This window comes from Homo sapiens, chromosome 4 (assembly GCF_000001405.40).
Source record: "Homo sapiens chromosome 4, GRCh38.p14 Primary Assembly".
Classification (NCBI taxonomy): Eukaryota; Metazoa; Chordata; class Mammalia; order Primates; family Hominidae; genus Homo; species Homo sapiens.
This window is the reverse complement of record NC_000004.12, coordinates 51861455-51880915: the sequence shown is the minus strand read 5'-3', so window position 1 is coordinate 51880915 and position 19461 is coordinate 51861455. Positions and strand designations below refer to the sequence as shown.

Here is a 19461-nt window from a genome sequence, read left to right as displayed (position 1 = left end):
ATCTCATGATCCACCCGCCTTGACCTCCCAGTGTTAGGATTACAGGCGTGAGTCACCATGCCCAGCCTGGTTGTCTTCATTCTAATGAAACAAAATGGGATTCCAGGTTCAGATCAAGGTCTAAATAAACACTTCCCCTGAACCTCCCAGCCGATCCTTTCTAAAGTCACAGAGAGCTAAAGTACCAAAGTGTGAAAGGGAGTACACCTACAACCAGAGAACAGGAGGAAAAGCCCCCAGCGAAGAAGGGTTTATTCATTATATTTCTGGAGATCAGAAATTGAGCTGGTGGAGATTTTAGAAAGTGAGAAGCTGCATCCTAGAATGTGCAGAGGATGACTGGGGTTAACTGGCCAGACAGAAACTTGGAAGAGCTGGGCTCAGGCCTCAGGAGCCACGGAAAGCAGAGGGCAAGGTACAAAGTGGAACTGAGAATTCTGGGAAGAGCTGAAGGTCCATCCATGTGAAATAATCACACACCAGGCCCCCGCTGCCCCTCCACTCCACTCTACTCCAGATTAAAAGGCAGGGAGTCAGCATTTATCCTCAGCCCAAACCAGCCTGCTCTCTTCTACGGAAAATGAACATGGCTCAATTTCATTTACAAGCCCTCTTCGTGCTGGTATCTAGGGGGTCTGTGGCATCACAGCCTGTTCCCACAGACTCATCCTACAGCACAACCTGTTAGTCACACTGGTTCTTCTCACGATTCATTTTTCTTGACTAATACTGACCTACAGTTTCAGTTTATGTGGTTGAGATACACAAAATGAAAACACATGCCAATGGGGCTTTCAGTTATTCCCAATGCCAGTTATTTTCCCTATGGACAAGCTATAGCAAAAGGGGGAAAAAGAAGGGGGTGGCTAAAAATAGGAATAGTCACCTCCACACAAATTTCTTGAAGGGTTCAGTTAAAACGAAGGACTTAGCAGGGATTTCAAGGAACCTAAATAATGTAGCTTAATCTTTATGTCCAAAATGTCACCCTTCTAAAGTCAGAGAAAGGCAAACAAGAAGAAAAGTCACACCTTGCTATTTTCTTGGCTTATATTATGAAAAAATCTGTATTTGCTTATAAAGGAAGGTACCAAAAAATCAGAATAGCTATGCTATGGTGATGGGATTAAGTGTACTTTTTCTTTAAAATTTCCTTCTTATAAAACATTTTCATAACAATAAATGTGAATCAATATAGGAAAGCAAGAGATCTTCATAATCAATGTGATAAGAATATGAGAACGCTCTTCATTCATTCAGAACCTATTTACAGAATATCTGGTACAGTGTCAATTATTTTTGTTTTCTGGAGACGGAGTCTTGCTCTGTCGCCCAGGCTGGAGTGCAGTGGCACAATCTCGGCTCACTGCAACCTCCGCCTCCCAGGTTCGAGTGATTCTCCTGCCTCAGCCTCCTGAGTAGCAGGGATTACAGGTGCATGTCACCACAACTGGCTAGTTTTTTGTATTCTAGTAGAGACGGGGTTTCACCGTGTTGCCCAGGCTGGTCTGGAACTCCTGAACTCAGGCAATCCTCCTGCCCTGGCCTCCCAAAGTGCTGGGATTTCAGACGTGAGCCACCGCGCCCAGCCGTCAATCACTTTTACTAGAAATTCTAAAGGTTTCCAAGAGATTCAGGTTCAATGAATCAAACGAACTCATGTTTAATTTGTCTGTAAACATGAAAACAGACAAATGCTAACAGCATCCATGTGTTTGCACTAGTGTCCATGCCCCGCAAACAAAATCCAGATCAAACTCATTAAAGAAATGACAGAGAATCCATTAGAAAGATGTTGGGGTAGCTCATAAAAGTCCAAAGAAGAACTACAGGAATCAGAACTATAACCTCTCGAGTCCTCCACCAGAAGAGAAAGACATGATCCTCCCAGCTTCAATCTGAAAACCCCTGTGAAGATTTGTCTGACTGGCCTGGCCTGGGTTATGTGCCAGCCACCTAGACCAATCTCTGTGGCCAACAGGGGCAAGGCTCTTATCACAAAAAGGGTTGCATGGGAATAGGAGAAAAATAGCCAGATCAGGCTACAGGGGGAATTCCTCATTTTGATACCAATAAAAGGGAACCAAAACAAGTTACAACAAGTTATAAACACTATCCTGTGGAAGTACAGAAAAGGCTACTAAGGTAATTAAGGGTTTAAAAGATGTAAGAGCATGTCAGATGGAAAAACGGAGAAAATCATTTCAGGCAAAGGCACGGGGAGTTCACTCTCTTTTATCCTGCAGATAGCAGGGATTCTTTTGGCCAGGAGATAGGGTTGGGATTAGAGGGGAGTGGTTGAGGTTGTTCAGGAATGTATGTATGATCTGCTCAGCTTAGTTTTAAAAAAATTAGACAACAGTGGCACATGGCAGGTTGTCTGGAGAGGAGATGACAGGAAAATTGGTTTAAAGGTTGCTAGAATAGCCAGTTGGTAAGTTATAAAAGAGCCTGAAATAAGGTGAGAAAGAAGAAAGATAAAAGAGCCTTCAGCTTGAGCTTGTTTGAAAATTTTTTCTTTTTCTTTTTTACACCATACAAAGCCACAATAACAAATAAGCCCCAGGTCGCAACATTATATTACCCAACCAATTATAGTAAATTGCAAAAAGAAAGACTAAATTTAAAACATTTTAAGTGACAAAACAAACATTTTCTGCCAAATGATCTTTCCAAATAGAAACACTTAATATAAAGAAATTTCACTGCACTAAGTAAGGGTTCAAAGCAGCAAAGCTTATTTTAACACAGGTGCTTTGACCAAATAATCACCCATTATCAGCATTCCAAATAGGTTTCCCAGCAATCCAAAGTATTTCTCCCAAGTCATTTCATCTTTTCAGTTCCCTTCTAGTGTTCTGAATTATTTGGCTTAGCTGCTGGCTATAAAATAGGCTATCTGGTGATTTGTTACAGCTATGTCCCTCTCTCCCTCTAACAGGGACACACACACACACACACCCAAATTTGAAATGTACACATTTTTAAATTCTTTAATCATCTCTAAGGTACTCCTTATTGTCATAAGGATCAGTCTTAGATGATACAAATGAATACCTACCTGCATATTCATAGAACCATTCCAAGCACCTTTTACTTGAAAAGGCTTCTTCTTCAGTCTTTATTCTAGTCGAATCATATTTTCTATACATGCTGGAAATTGAAAAGGCAGTTTTAAGTTATTTAAAGATACTGAGTTCTTTAAAGTAGCAGATAATTTATATTCTTTTACCCAAACCAGACATCTATTCAATCAGTATTTTAAGTATATTTTAAACGTTTTATTTCCTGCATTTGCAGGCTTCAGCTTTTAACTACAGTGTTTAAACACAGTCACTCCTAATATAGAACTGGTAAGCACTTAATACAAGTTTTTCTCTGATTAACAAATAATCAGTAAGAACTGAACAGAACAGGTATTTGATATACTCCCTTCTACCTCACCAGCCAGAACTACAAAATAATGGTGAGATATGGCAAGAAATGTCTTGCCTACATTTATTAATGTAGCCTACAACTCATGTCTGTCTTCTGTGTCTTACAAGTTAGACTGGGCACGGAACACAGTCTAAGGAAGAATCTCTCAATATTAGACAACTCAAGAGAACACTAAGCAAATAAAAAGAAACATCAAATCATGTCCAAGCTTCCGGGAAAAAAATAAACTTTGATGTAAGGCTGACAAAGACAATGTCGCTTGGGTGGTTTCTTGATTAGTATAACCTTAGAAACCTCAGGAGACAGAAGTATAGAGAAACTAGCTTCTGCCTTTTTCTTCTAATTCTAGCCTTGTGGACAGCCCAGCATAAACTAGAGAACTGAATCAGGAAGCACAGCAGCCTCCTGTTGCAACTGTGACCTTCCACAAAAATGACATACTTCATAATAACCAGGGGCTGAGGAAGGTGATACTCCTCACATGGAGAGGGAAGAGGAGGCAATAGCTTTAAAATGATGATATGGATATAAAAATTATAAGTATATACATTTTTATATCCCTTACTTATATATAAATTACCTAGTGGTGTATATAAGCATTTATAAATACAGTTTTTATTTTCATAGTATGTAAGAATATGAAAATAATATTCGGTAATTCCCCAGTATATGCAGGGGACTGTTTCCAGGACCCCCACCTATACCCAAATCTACACATACTCAAGTCCCCCAGTCAGCCCTGGAAGACCCATGTATACCAAAAGTCAGTGCTCCATACAGGTGGGGTTTCACATCCCTCAATAGTATATTTTCCATCTCTGTTCGGCTGAAAAAAATCCACAGAAGTAGACTTGTGCAGTTTAAACTTGTATTGTTCAACAGTCAACTGTATAATCCTTTTTTTTTTGTATTATACTTAAGTTTTAGGGTACATGTGCACAACGTGCAGGTTTGTTACATATGTATACGTGTGCCATGTTGGTGTGCTGCACTCATTAACTCGTCATTTAACATTAGGTATATCTCCTAATCCTATCCCTCCCTCCTACCCCCACCCCACAACAGGCCCCCCGGTGTGTGATGTTCCCCTTCCTGTGTCCATGTGTTCTCATTGTTCAATTCCCACCTATGAGTGAGAACATGCGGTGTTTGGTTTTTTGTCCTTGCGATAGTTTGCTGAGAATGATGGTTTCCAGCTTCATCCATGTCCCTACAAAGGACATGAACTCATCATTTTTTATGGCTGCGTAGTATTCCATGGTGTATATGTGCCACATTTTCTTGATCCAGTCTATCATTGTTGGACATTTGGTATAATTCTTTTTTATTGAACATTGATTCATGACCTAGACACTCACCCGATTATCAGTATATGCCTCTGATTAGTTTCTGGGTTTTAACACCAAAAAAAGTACATGGTTATAATAAGGTGTTAGGTTACTGAAACTGCAAACCAGCAGTTTTGTATTTCTTCTATAAAAGGTAGCCATACCACCTAGAAACAAAAGTGGATACCGGCCAAGTGTTCAAATAGATATGATCTAATTCTGGGCCCAGGCATTCCTATCTCAGCTCAAAGCCTGTAAATGGTCAATAACTTGGAGACACTATATAAATTATTCAAAAATACATAAAAAAGAACCAAGAGCATACAACGGAATACCATTCAGCAAATAAAAAGAATGATATGCTGATATATGCTATTTCATGCAAGAATCTCAAAAACATCATGCTTAGTGAAAGAAGCGAGACACAAAGACCATATCCATAAAAGGGAAATCTGTCGAGACAAAGTAGATTAGTGGTTGTCTGGGGCTGGGAGTGGCTGAATGGGCATTAGGGATCTTATTGGGATAATAGAAATGTTCTATAACTGGTTTGTAGTGATGGTGTGTACAACTCAGTTAACTTAATAAAAATCACTAAACTGTACACTTAAAATGGATGAACTTTATGGTATGTAAATAAAGTTGTTTAAAAAAGAAAGGCCAAGAATGAAACTCAGAAACTGCAACTACACTGCCAGTTTCAAATCTGGCTTTATCATACTATATTTTATTAGACTGTGGTGAGAAAATACTAAGCGCTACAAAGTCACAAAATGTTATGTGATTGTTAGAATTTAACAATTCTGATAATAACGTCCACACCACCAAAAAAGTATCAAAGTAGCCTGCCTTTGTAAAGTTGAAAAATCACTGGCCTAAAGATTGCTGGTGATTATTTTCTAAATCACTACTATCTTCTTTCAGATAATATTTTCTATTCATTTGAGATATAAACAATGACATTATTTTTACATTTTCAGAGTCTTTCTTATTCCTCTGAGTCACAGCAAGAAAGAAACAGAAAAATCTCACTTAAATTCCCTGGATTAATACATGTGGAAATTCTGGCCCATTAGTGATATGACCCACAAAGCCAGAATGGGGAAAGATGGAGAAAGGTAGAAAAGACTAGACAATGATGTTCGTTTGTTGTTTCTGAAACAAGGAAGAAAAAACTACTTACTAAACTCAGGGTGAAACAATAAAGATGTTTGAAATAAACGAATCTAACAGGCCCTTGGAGTTACCAAAATTAACAAGTTCACTTATCTGAAAGAGAAGCGATTTAAAGAGCCTTGTTTTTCACAGTTCTATCGAATTCTCACCCATGTGAGAATAAACCTCAGCTTGGCTGATATTCTGGGCGGGCACAGACCATTAAGTACAGGAAGATCTCTCCAGCTCTGTGGTTGAAGTGAATGAGTGAGACCTGCTTAAAGAACAAGACACCAATTCTGTGGTCCTCAGCAGGCACAGACAGCAAGGCTTTGAAAGGAAAGAAATCAACTCTGCACCAGTTTTGGGCGATCAATGGATTAAGATAAAACTTTAACTTCTAAGAATTCAAATTACCTAATTTGTTCTTACGTTTTTAAACTAAAACACAAAATAAACATGATTAAATAATTACATTTTGAAAAATCGACTGGCAAAGCCCATTCCACTTGGCATTTGCACACTTAGAAGACCCACACTGAATTAGGTAGAAATGTGCATCTTCGACATATGTATCACTGATTCTGATCTACTGTCTCTACATCATACCTATCATGTCTACTTTTCTTGGCAGATAAATCATCTCCAGAGGCAGGTCTTCTCTTTTTCCTTGGTGGCATCACTTTATTAAAGCAGTCTGAAGAACTGCAAGACCGCAGACTTCCTACAAAACAAATTCAAAGAGCACAAAATTAAGGTATGCTACATCCTAACTCTGTACTTCCAAAGAACAGTACTGCTAATTTAAACACTTCCACAGCTTGTATTGTAAGGAATTTAGATGTTAAAGAAAAGATGGGTTTTTAGTTCCTTTTTGAAAAAATGTTATGGTCAAGAAATAAACCTAGCGACGACACAAATAAGTTAATACTTCCACCAACCCAAATCACACCAGAAATAGAAGTTATTATAATTTCAATTTACTCTCCAAAAATACTAATCTAAGTCATCTAACCTTTCTGTTTCTCTTATATGTCAATGTTCTCTCAAAATGCACTGCAGTGCTATCTCATGTACACACTTCATGAAACAAGGTTAGCTCAACAAGTAACCCTGACTCTAAAATACACGTAGGCACATCAGTCCCAGTAGTCTTAAGCTTCAAGAGATATCTGATTTAAAAAAAACAGGATTTGGGGTTTTTTAAGCAGAAGTCTGACATGACCTTGAGCAAAATGTCCACAACAATTTTGTTTGTTTCTGCCACTTGAAGATTTTGCCACATTCAGTCAGGGTTTTCAGTTAGGAAACATAACTTTCATTTGGTAATTGTCTGATACCAAAATGTAATAACAGATAATAATAGCCACTGAACACTTACTGAGGTCTTACTTTGAACCAGGCCCTGTTCTTAACACTTGCATGTACTAACTCATTTAGGTTCAGTTTCCATGAGGAAAGAACTATTATTGCCTTATGCAGATAAGAAAACGGAGGCGGAGGGAGGTTAGGCAAACGGCAAAGCCAGGATTCGAATCTGGGCAGTCTTGCTTCAGGCCGTCTTAAGTTATAAACTACAAGACAACTATAAGATGATTAAAATACCCCACCTTGGTACAAGTGCCCTCAAATATATTATGTCATTTGGTTCCTACAATAATCATGAATGACAGGCAGGGCAAAGATAATTATTTCTACTTAACAGACAGGGAAAACTAAGGCTTAGGTATTTAAGTGACCTCCTGAGGTCTCAGGAGTGAGAAGTGGTGAATTCTGAACCTCATGCCTTTCCTCCTTGCACAAGCCCTTGGTTGAAGGCCCAGGGCTCTCAGGGAGTGATGAGGACAGGAGAGCGTGAAGGGTGCTGGGGACTGAATGATCTGCAGTCAATGAGTGAGTTCCAGTTCTTCACCTATGTGGTTCTATCAGTCACTAACCTACTTAGGGTCTCTCATTCGCCATTTGAAGAATGAGAAATGTTATATAGCTACCTCTCAGGAGTTTTATGAAGGAAAAAAATACCCATTCACTAAGTGCTTAGGTGCCAAGTGTTGTGTTCGGGTGTTGCTGAAATAAAGACATTGGTTCCGAGCAGCATCACGGAAGGAGGCATGCGCACTGCGCTCATGGCGGCCTTCAGCATTCACTGAACTCTCAGGACACTATTCACCAGCATGTATCATATTTTAACAAACAGGGAAACCAAAGCAGAGAGATTAAGTGACAGCTGGAAAGCAGCACGTAAAGCCAAGTCAGTATGAACCCAAGCAGCCCAGTGGCAAAGCCCAAGCTCTCAGCTACCATTTGCTGCCACTTCTATGAGGCCATAAAAGCAGAAACAGAAACAGAGGACTAAGGACAGAGCCCTGGGAAAAGAAGGTAAAACCCAGGCAGGAAGGAAATCCAGGAGAGTGTCATGTCCTGGAAGCCAAAGGAGGAGAGCATGCTTTGAGAAGGGAGTGTTCAATTGCAGCACGGAGGTCAACTCAGGTAAGGAGTGAAGGCACACATGAGATTTAGCAATCAAGTACAGTGTCCATGGATTGGTGGGAGTGCAGGCCAGATTGCAGCGGGCTGTGGAGAGACAAGAGATGTGAGGTGAGGAAGTGGACACAGTGAATGTGAACAGCTCTTTCCAGATACCTGCTCTGAAGGCAGAGAGAGCTGTCAATAGCCAACATTCACAACCCTGCTAAGAGCAATGATCAGAGCTGAAACCTAAATCCCAGTTCATATCTGGGCTTCCATCACTGTGCTAAGTTCCTAAGGTGACATGCTTCAGCAACATACCAGTTCAAAGCACCCTTTCCATTATAAATTGGGACTCTGGCCCAGATGAGGGTCCTTCCCAGACCCCAGTCTTGGACAGTGCCCAGGCTCAAGGATCCTGCCTGCTCCTTCGGCACAAAACCAGTTCAGGTCTAAACAGATGACCCTCAGCCACCATTCCTGGGGAACCAACCAGGCTCTTTCCTTCCAAGGATTGGAGTAGAGAGCTCTTCAGAGACACTAAGCACCCCCATATCACTCCTCCCACACCAGCAGGGTGTGGAAGAGAAAGAGTCAAGGGGAGTGCTGCCCACCACCCCACACACCCCATTCATCTTCCCTGTAAAATGCTGCCCTGGTTCACAAACACCACTAAAGCATATTAAAAGGTCCAAAGAATTGCAGTGACCCAAGCTTCTGCAGACTGCCAACATACAAAAACAAAGATTTATTCATATCTATTAATGCCCTAGGGCAGGGCTTGCAGAAGGAAAAAGTTTGCCCTGCTCAGCTGTAAAGCCTGTTATACTGCCCAGAAATGAAGAGTCTGTCCTGATCCTCAAGGCTGGCTTCTCCCTCCTTAGATGTATATGCAGGAAGAAAAGACATTTTCTTCCAATAGCAGTCACGGTTTGGTTCTTAGCTTCCAGTCTAGCAGTAACCCCTCCCCTTCCACATGTGCAAAACACAGAAGAAAATGCACTTATCGCCTCAATCCATAAGAAGAGGAACACTGTTTAAAATAACGTCTACACCAATATATTCACCAATAAAAGTTCATTCATTAGCTCCTCTACCACCTGGTTCTTCCTAGACACACACTGTACAACGTTTGGTTTCCACTGAATCCTACTTGTCAAGATTAGCATGTTTTTGGCAAATACACAAACATCATAAGTTAACTAACATTTTCAGCTTTCTCTTATGTTTCTTTCTTATTGATAAATGCTTTCTATTAAAAGTTTCACAAATACTTTTTTCTTGTGTCTGTGGAAAAGTTACTCATCTCTGAGACCCAAATCATCCCAGTGATTCTGTCATTTATTAAAATGTTTATCTCCTAACTAAGAGGCATGACTTTTTTTTTTTTTTTAATCTCTCCACTCTAATCATCAGTGTAAGCAAGTGACAGTTAAGGGGTCATTTTTCACAAAGAAACTGTGTCTATCCACCTGCCCCAACAGCCATCCTAGTTCAGGCACTGACTCACTGACTCTCACATGGCTGGCTCACAAGGAGGATGAGGCAAACTCAGATCCAGGCAAGGGAAGGGAATTGACTTAGGACCACACAGCACAGCTGGTCAAGGCAGAGCCACCCTGGAACCCATTCAGGCTACAAAAAAAAAACAACTTTTTAATGCTTAGGGAAACAACTTTACTTAAAATAGTAATTTGCCAACATGAACTAAATAAACAAAATGCACAGAGAACACCCAATTCAAGTCTGTTTACCCCAAACCTGCTCCCCCAATGGTTGCAGGGATCCCAACTAAGCAAGAGCAACAACTAGGATTTCTCAAGTGCACGTGCAAAGGCACATACTGCTTTGCGGGGTCCTGTTTGGTTCACTTGTGCATACTCAGCAGCTAATACAGTATCTTATTACAGTAATAATAAGATACATCCATTACTGAGTCATACGGTAGACTCTCAGTAAATATTTGTTGAATAAATGCTCCTAAAACATGTATAAATCAGATTCTTCTAAAAAAAAAAAAAGTACATTTCCAGAGACTTAAAACACCTATGAGTAAATAAAACACCATCATTTCAGATTTTTTCCCCATTTGTCACTAAAACAAACAGTTAACTTTAAGTTTCTTGGCAGATAGGATTTTTTTAGAAGACATATTCAAGGAATGCTTGCTTCTTAAAATAACTGTGATTTTTTTATGATAAAAATACTTAAATATAAATAATTTCTACAAATTTGTATTTATTTGTATCATTAAATTTAGACTTCACCGACTTACAACTTGTATGAGTTGTATTACTTGACTTTACAAGTTTATCTTTAAACTACAAAAAAAAATACAAATAATATAAACAAGAATGTTACGGAATATTTATCTGCTTCAGAAAATGAGCTATTTTAACCATTTTAAAGTACTTAATTAGGTACGAACATCTGGCATCAGAGGTAGAAGCAAGATATTAAGGCTGACGTTTTAGTGAATCGGAAATCAATCCTCCTATCATTAGAAGCTCTTTCTTAATGTTTTGGTGTTTACATGACACTTAGGAAAGCAATCAAAATTGTGTGCAATTTTTGCCCAAAGATTATTATTTAAGTTCAGATTCATTTCTTTTGGGTTCAGTGTTTCAAGAGAACAAATTAAATATTTTTTAACTGACCCCATCTGATTTCAAATAAATCAGTCAATGAATAGAGCTTTTCTTCCCACATTAATCAGAAATACTGCCAACATTTTTTCAACAGGTCTATCCTAATATTTATGACAGAAAGTCCATTTTAAAGGGCAACTTGAGTTCACCTGGTTCAGACTAAAGGCCCTTTATCATCTATCCAGCTTGCTATTTTCATAATAATTTAATTACGTAGCACATTATTCTTAACAAATAGTGCCTAAGTATGTGCTTCACTTCCTTTTTTTTTAATCTTTCTGCTTTGTGGTCCTCAAGTAAAAAAGAGTACAAGAGGTTTACAAAATTAGAGAATATATTTTACTTCTCCAAACTTAATACAAATAGATGTGCCAATACAAAAATCTCACTGTCTCATGTTTCATTTTAGTGAGCTGATTGTATCACAGCCTTGTTTCACTTACTAACATTTTACGGAGCTCATTCTGCCACTTCAGTACTTTTTATATAGCTATTTCACCTCACTTTTCATTGAACATTGTCACAAAGATACAGTAACTTAAGTTCATAAATAGCTTGCCGCTTAAGATATCTTACCAGTAGCTAATATTTTTATTTCATTTTCTTGAACAGATCATTGAACTGCTAAGGACAAAAGAATTTTTTCCTCTCTCTAAATACTTCTGACATCTATCATCATCATCCCTACTCATTTTTTTTTATTTTTTTTATTTTTGGTCCTCTCTGATTGACTTTTTTTTTTTTTTTTTTTTTTGAGATGGAGTCTCCCTCTGTAGCCTAGGCTACAGTGCAGTGGCATGAGCTCAGCTCACTGCAACCTCGGCCCCCCGGGTCCAGATTCAAGCAATTCTCCTGCCTCAGCCTCCCGAGTAGCTGAGATTATAGGCATGCACCACCATGCCCAGCTAATTTTTGTATTTTTAGTAGAGACGGGGTTTCACCATGTTGCCCAGGCTGGTCTTGAACTCCTGACCTCGTGATCCACTGGTCTCAGCCTCCCAAAGTCCTAGGATTACAGGCGTGAGCCACCACACCCAGCCTGATTGGGCTCTTTAAAATTCACTCCTATTTTGTGCTATTTCTCCAAGATTAGCCACTAATTCATTCTCTCTTTTTCCTTTTGGTAGGAGGAAGATTGTGACACACAAAAGAAAGGCCTGAGAGGAGGCAGAGCAGGAAGATACCCGATCTCTGTGACTTAGGTTTGGCTCTTCCACACACAGTAGCATTGCCCAGACTACTGTTAGGCCAAGAGACTCAAAGAAGTACTACAATGACTCAACTATTTCAGATTTCTAAACATCATAGATTTTATGTTGCTCAGTTTTTAAAGTATACTCTGTTGGGTACCGGAATCACAAGTGATGCTATAACCAGATGGCAAATGTTAATGAAGTTGACTACTCCAAGAAATTACTAACACTAACTGACATTGACTGGGCACTTACAAGGTAACAGGCAATAAACCAGCATGTCATACTGATGGCAGCAGCAGCCCGTCTGGAGCAATCACTGCCATGAGGTGGGCTGCAGTGGAGGAGGAGCAGCAGGGGCTGCACACTCCACGGAGCTTGGAACAGGCAGGAGCCCCACCCCATTCTGAGCTGTGGGGGCAGGAGTCTCGCCCTTCCAGGAACAGCTGCAGCCGCCCAGCCATGGCTGCGGACCCAGGCATCCCTGCACTCTCAAGGACTGGGAAGGCCCCCTGCCCCCACAGCCTCAAAAGTGACTGCTCCCACTTCCTGGCATCTCCCTACTCCTGGTGCTTTGTCCGTTATCAGAGTAAAGTTGAGGCTGAGCCCAGGCACTGTCGTGACCTGACCAGGTGTGCACATGCTTGGGGCAATGCTGACACACCAGCCCCCTGCCACCTCAGCCCCCTTCAAACTTTGGGCACCAACAAGCACGAGGGGGAAGCCGAGGGGGGCTGAGAGCAGCTTGGCGCAGACCTGCAGGTGCCCCTTGGCACGAACAACCTGAGCGCCGTGGGCACCATGGATGGCAAGTTGATGGCATCAGGAAGCAGGCTTCTGCGCAGAAAGGGGTGGGTCCCCGGTAAATCCCCAACTTCAAGCCTGGAATGGCCTGAGGCCTGGAGGCTGGGCTGCCAGTTCCAGGGACTAGAGTGAGAACTTATGGTGCTTTTTCCAGGCCAGCTCATGGCTGCCCATGGACCAATCAGCACGTGCTTTCTCCCCTCTGAAACCCATTAAAAACCTCAGACTCTGCCAGACTCAGGCAGAGGACAGGACAACCTGCCTGCAGATAGGAGCTACTCACTCCAGGTCTCCTCTCCACCGAGGGCTGCACAGATGTCGGGAGGACCTGCCTGCAGAAAAGAGCTACCCACTTTGGGTCTGCTGAAAGCTGTTCTGCCACTCAATGAAGCTCCTCTACACCTTGCTTACCCTCCAGTTGTCTGCATACCTCATTCTTCCTGGATGCGGGACAAGAACTCAGGATCCACCAAATGGCAGGACTAAAAGAGCTGTAACACAAACAGGGCTGAAACGCACCCCTTGCCACTTGCCACGTTGTGGGCGGTGAAGAGAGAAGAGCTGCAGCCCTTTGAGGAGCCTAGACCTATGGGCTCCTTGAGCCAGGGCTGTGACACCCTCTTTGGGGTTCTGTGGTTCCTGGTGTCTCCAAGCTTCCGGGCGCCACCTTGTTCCCCTCATCCAGGTGCAGGTGCCCACAGTGGAAGCCACATGCAGTACATCTGGTCCAGCTGCAGCCTCGCACAGAGCTGGTGCCTGTACTGGCGCCTGTGCTGGCACCTGGAGCTACTTGCCCCACTGCAGCAGCCAGCATGCCTGGCTGTGTGCAGTGATTGGAGCGGGTGCTTGCTCACCCACACACCGTGTGCTGCTCCATGTCTAACTCACACTTGGCAGGTGTGGGATCCAGGCCAGTAGTGAGAACTGAGTGCAGCCTGCCTGGCCAAGTGGGTGGAAGGAGCCCAGCAGACACAGGCAATACTCAGGCAGAAGGTGCCACCAGCCACAGAAGTTTCCGGCTGGCAAAGCAACACCCCAAGAATCCCATGAAAAGTACTCCCAGTATTGGACGTATCCACTGTAACCAAGGCAAAAGTGGAGGCATGAGTCCAAGTATACTTTCGTTTAACTGAATTTCAAGTGCCACACTTTGGGTTAAATATTTACATGCAAAATTACTATAGTAACAATACTTATCTAATTCAAAAGTTCAGAACTACTAAAACTGGTCCAAAAGTTATATTCCTGCATTATTAGTGGTGGCTAAAAGTTAAACATATAAGCATAAGTGTACATAAATCAACAGGAGGCTGAAGGAACGTATTATAAAATACCCATGGATTAGAAAATTACAGTCATTAAAAAAGAAAGCAGATGCTTTATAAATGTGTTAATATGAAAAGATCTCAAGGATATACTGAGTGGAAAAGTGGCAAATATAAATGTACACTTGTATTTAAGGAAAAAATACATCATCATCATCATCATCATCATCATCATCACCATAATTTGGTTAACAAACAGAAGAGTTACCTCTGGAAAGTCAAACGTGGACTACTAGTGGGGGATGGAACCTAGGGGTGATAAACTGGGACAGAAATCTTCACTTTTTGTTTTATATTTTTTCAATACTTCTTTCAAAACTATGCGAATATACTGCTTTTAAAATTATTAAATAAATTGTTTTTGACTGTCCTTGAGTTGATCTATATTTGCTGATATGGAATGATCAGGTGAAGGGACCCTTAGTACCCCTGAACTCCTAGAACACTCCTAGCGCATTCTCTGCCTCTCTGTCTCACTCCTTTCCCTGGAAGAAGGAGTGCCTGATCTAAGTGCTGAGAGACTGAACTGAGCAGAGAGCCTGAAATGAGCAGAAAGCCCAACCCCTCTGAACTCCCTTTCAGATCTGCCTGCAGTGGAGCAAGCTGAAAGAGTATGAACACTTCCACTGTCATAGTGCAGGGTGTAAAGGGTCAGCAGGTATGCTGGCTTGTGCTTATCTAGTTGTGACAGTGATTCAGGTGAAATGCTGAAAGTCCTGTGCATTCTTGCTGCACATCTAAGTTGTGTTTTCCAAAAACACTGTTACTTCAGTCTCCATCTTACACCTAATTTTCAATTGATTCTGAACCAATTTAGAGAAGGTGGGGACAGTCTTAAATCTCAACAGCCCCCAAAATGCACCATTAAATGAAAAAGAAAAACACACTATAACACGTACAGTATGATATCACCAATGCTAAATTAAAAACCACGACTATAAACATATATGCATGCATACAAATGTGAGAAGGGATCCTGCACCCTCTCATTCCCTCCTTCGCTCACCTTCTCGTTCTGCCATGCCCTTCTCTAAAGAGATACCTGCCATTTCCCCCAGCAAGCTCTCTGGTCTGTGGAGGAGGTCAGCATGCAGCTCTGCCTTGCCCAGCTCTCCAAGCATACCACGGCCTGACCTGAGGGTCTGTACAGGCTGCAGGCTATGACCTGTACAGTGCCTAAGATGATACAATACCACCTATGGAGAAAGCTCTTGTGAACAGACATTTAGATAGAGCTCCTCCTTCCAGGTGTTGTGGAAGAGTAGCTCCACGCTGGCTTGGCTGCAAAACACTTTATAGATGTAGGAGGTGGTATCATAAAGGAAGATTACAGAGGAAATGCTGGTGCTGTACTGTTTTATTTTGGCAAAGAAAAGTCTGAAGTCAAAAAAGGTGATTGAACTGCAGTTCATTTGTGAACAAATCTTTATCCAGAAATAGAAGTTCAAAGCTTTGGATGACACTGAAAGAGGTTCAGGAGGTTTGGGTTCCACTGGAAAGAATTAAAACTTATGCTAAGAATAGAAAATGAGAAATCATACCTTTTTCTTAAAGAGTTTTTGCTTTGAAAAAAAAGTCTGAAAGAACCAATGTTAAACCATGTGCTGGCAGAAAGTGACAGCTGTCACTTTTCACTCTATTTAGTCATCTAAAGAGACGTCTAAATAGTTGTCTAAAAGACGACTGTAACTTTCCACTCTATTTACTTTTGTGCTATTCAAAATTCCCCAACAAGCACTGCTATGGCCTGAAAGTTTGTGCCCCTCCAAAATTTACATGCTGAAAGCTAATCCCCAGACTGCTGGTAGTAAGAGGTAGAGTTGGGAGGCAATTAGGTCAGGGAGGTAGAGCCCTCATTAATGGAATTAGTGCCCTTATAAAAGAGGCCTGAGGGAGCTGCCTGCCCCTTCTGCCATGTTAAGATGCAGTGAGCAAGAGGCACCATCAGTGAGGAACAGACCCTCACCAGACCCAGGATCTGCTGGTGCCTTCACCTTAAACTTACCAGTCTCCAGAACCATGAACAATCAAGTTCTATTGTTTATAAACTACTCAGTTTAAGGTATTTTTGTTACAGCAGCCCAGACTAAGACAAATTTCAATTCGTCTATTACTATGGCCATTTTCAAAAACTTTAAAATGTGTTTAAATAATTTTTGCTAGGATTTTAGTAACCATAGATCAAATGCAAGTTTCTGGACTTGATGATTACTAACAGTTGAGAGAAGTGGTTCTCAAAGAGTGGTCTCCAGACCAGCTCCATCAGCATCACATAGGAGCAAACTCTGGGGCCCCACCCCAAGTCTACAGAACCAGAAACTCTGGGGTGGAACCTAACATCTGTACTTTAAACAAGGCCTTCCCTCAGGTGATCATAATGCCAGCTAAACTCTGAGAACCACAGGGTTAGAGGATAACTTATACTAATCAAGCTTCAATTTTCTGATTTCTAAATCTTCAGTAACTATGAACACATACACACACACCATATTAAATCATTTTTCAGCTGAATTTCTCAAATATTTGTGGAATACCTTTCAAATTGCATTACTGTAGCACCTTTTTAATATAAATGAAAATACTGCAGTAGAGAAAACAAGGTATCTTGAAACTATGAGAATCCCGAGCCTCTTTAAAGGCATTAAAAAGTGCTTCCAGAAGAGATTTCCTACTGGGAAGAAGCTATAACATGGCTGCCTTCATTACTCCCTGAAAAACAACCTCAGCCAAGGAACAATTTGTTAATGGAGTACATTATGACAACATAGCGCATTCATAGCTAGTATTTCTCTTTCCTAATATTAAGAAGCTATTTAAAATTAAGTAGTGTTAGCATTTACAGATACCTGTTTGGTGATCGTCTTGGCCAATGTCTTCTGTTAGGTTCTGAAAGAAATATGTTCGTTATTACGAAGAAATCACATACCGTTAGCATTTTCATAAACAACTGATATCCTAATATCTAGAATCTAAATTTTTATCAAATACACTTATACAAAATGACTACTTCAAACAGTTGGTAATTTTGTCTTTAAAAGAATGACTTACCAGCTTATTAAGGGTGTGGTAGATCTTATGAATATTTGCCAGTGTTGAGAGATGAGAGTTCAGCTGAAAATCTTGAAAAGAAAAAGGAAAAATGTCAGCGTCATTTATTTCCAATATTGTAAAAAAACAAACTCAGAAAATAAACAAATGTTTTGATATAATTAAATACTATCTCAATTAATTTGACACTAAAGTTTTTTAAAAACATGCAATTAGTGACCTCCTAGAAATAGTCTGACAATAAAGTTAAATTCCCAACCAAATGTTAAAGTTCATGAAATTTTCATGTGAATTCTAAGGTAAAACAAAAAGTACTTCAGTAGTTATAAAATCCTGCCAGCAGTGAACTTGAACTTAATAGAAAGATAAGTCTCAAATGAAATGTTCACTTTCCCCTCTCTTCCCTAGAATTACTGGTACAATTAAGTAAGCTCATGGCAAGAAAATGATAGAAAAGCATCCCAACATTAGTATTTATTTTTTCTTTTCCTTTTTTTGAGACAGGATCTCACTACGTTGCCCAGGCTGAAGTGCAGTGGTGCAATCATGGTTCACTGCAGCCTCAGACTCCCAGGCTCAAGTGATCTGCCTGAGCCTGCATGGTAGCTGGGACTACTAGTGTGCACCATCATGCACAGCTAATTTTTCTTTTTTTTTTTCTTGTAGAGACAGGGTCTTTCTATGTTTCCCAGGCTGGTCTTGAACTCCTGGGTTCAAGTGATCCTCCTGCCTCAGCCTCCCAAAATGTTGGGATTAAAGGTGTGGGCCACTACGCGCAGCCTCAACTTGAAGTAAAGTATGTTTGCATATATATTAGGCAATAAAAATGTAAGCTGAAAGTTTATTAATAATTTCATATATAAGTACCACTGGAAGTATTTTCACAAAATATCAGGATTTACATTAGTTCCTTCTTTCCTATTAAAGGTTAGTATGAAAATGACCATGAAAAGATATTGTAACTCTCCAAGTTATACCATTCTGACAAAAAGAAAGAAAGAAAAAAAGCTCCCTTTACTGAAACATTTTATTTAGGACACGTATCAGATCCAAAGAACAGATCCAAAGAGCAGGTGCTACAATATCAGGTGTCTGTGCTTGGGCTGGATCCTCTGTGCTGCTACTCTGAACCCTGAAAACAAGCTGGCCTCCCTGTTCACAGTTAGAAAGCTTTACTTTCTCTTCTAAAGCTTGTTGGGCATCCAGTTCTGAGTAGGTCTGCAGGGCAGAGGGGCTGGCAGAAGCAGAGCCCCTCACATTCACATGCAGTGTCAGGAACAGCAGGTCATACCTGTATACATACATGTGCATATGCACTGTTCACAGTCATAGCCATATAGAATGGTCCCCAAAACCAGCATTTTGTGCTGAGAGACAGCCAGAGCAGGGCCTCAAGCTCTAAATGGCCCTCCAATATAGACATGCTTGAATTGCTTAGCATCTGAATAGCCCAGCCATGCTTAAGGTAAATGATGACATAAAGTGGCTGAGAATCTGGATTTTTCATCTAAATACGACTGCACAGAGGTTTAGAAAAGTATGTGTATTATACACCTATTTATTTACATTTATATTTATTAAACGTGAACAGGGGTAGAAGCTAGAAGCTACAGCCCTCTCACCAGCAAGAGGCCTCTCAGGACCAGCAAGAGGTGCTGAGGAGCTTGAACATTCAACTCTTGCACCTCCACCCCATCCACTACCAAGCCATAGCCCCCTTTTTGTACTCTCTCAGATTAAATATAGGAAGACAAATGATACATTCCATTATCACCTTAAAATATGAAGTTAAACTCTTGGGCCCCCAAAAAAACAAAAAGCAAAAACTGAGAAAACTTTAGCCTCTTGATTCTCTTTTCACTGAGGGTAAGGGAGGGGAGAGAAAAAGGGGCTTGCCAAAAGCCATTCCAGCAATGAGGTCTCTTCTAACTCTCCAGGCTATGCTTTTGTCATTTCACCACCCTGCTGTTAATTAAACTCCCAAAATTCCCATAAGAGAATCTAAATAAACCAAAACTGTTATATCTTTCTCCCTCCTTTATATAAATGTGGA

General features: G+C 40.7%; 1 protein-coding gene and 1 pseudogene across 23 annotated transcripts in view; one reads left to right on the top strand and one right to left on the bottom strand.

Annotated features, from left to right (window-relative positions):
• Nucleotides 1-19461, bottom strand: part of DCUN1D4 (defective in cullin neddylation 1 domain containing 4) — an 82954-nt gene that overhangs the window by 35922 nt on the left and 27571 nt on the right. For 22 of the 23 annotated variants that reach the window (XR_007096386.1, XM_047449871.1, XM_047449872.1 and 19 more), the window contains 4 exons: nucleotides 17409-17479; nucleotides 17207-17246; nucleotides 6531-6645; nucleotides 3062-3153 (listed from right to left, as the gene is read on the bottom strand). Coding sequence is in view for 22 of the 23 variants with exons in the window: in XM_047449872.1 (XP_047305828.1) it covers nucleotides 3062-3153; nucleotides 6531-6645; nucleotides 17207-17246; nucleotides 17409-17479 (318 nt within the window). In the remaining variant the exon portion in view is untranslated. Of the gene's footprint in view, nucleotides 1-3061; nucleotides 3154-6530; nucleotides 6646-17206; nucleotides 17247-17408; nucleotides 17480-19182; nucleotides 19207-19461 lie in introns of those variants that run through there. The other variant, XM_047449877.1, reaches the window with a different exon arrangement.
• On the top strand, nucleotides 15381-15863 carry DUTP7 (deoxyuridine triphosphatase pseudogene 7; annotated as a pseudogene).